A 629-nucleotide genomic window follows, 5' to 3' on the forward strand; every position below is an offset into this window, starting at 1 on the left:
CTTTTCTATTTTCATTTTTGGTATGGTACAAATAACCTACCAAAGACTTAAATATAAATATATTAAGATTTAAGCAGACATACAAACACATTTTATGGTTGCACATTCCTCCACAGATTCAACATTAATAGTATTCTTGACAATTGTTTAGACAATTATTTTTCTAGTGTGCTTAGTTAAATGAGGCCAAGAGGAATTCTCTGGAAATCAAGGCACAATTAATTTTAAAGCATTTGTTTTTGCTGTTTACCTGTAAATATAAAACACAAAAAGATCTAATTATATCAAATACACTTGTTTCTCAGGGCCAGTCTGCTTGGCCTCCTAAAGAAAAACGATAAAACAAAGTGAGTCTTTCAATGTCAACAAGGTCTATCAACCAGTGTTACAAGTATGTATGTCTAAGACACCTCAAGGTTATAAACCAAATTCCTAAAAGTTCAGGTTTATTGCTTCATACTGAGTCACTTTAAAACCTCTGAATCCCATAGGGAAACTTTTATTTCAAAATCAATGTTGGAGTTGTTTGAAGAGAAGAGAACTATCTCTCAACCAATGCCCTATCAGTTAGAAAGGATTACAGGTATTTGAAATAAACTTCTAAGGAGCTTTTCAAAATTTGGAGAATG

This window comes from Homo sapiens, chromosome 7 (genome assembly GCF_000001405.40).
Source record: "Homo sapiens chromosome 7, GRCh38.p14 Primary Assembly".
Classification (NCBI taxonomy): Eukaryota; Metazoa; Chordata; class Mammalia; order Primates; family Hominidae; genus Homo; species Homo sapiens.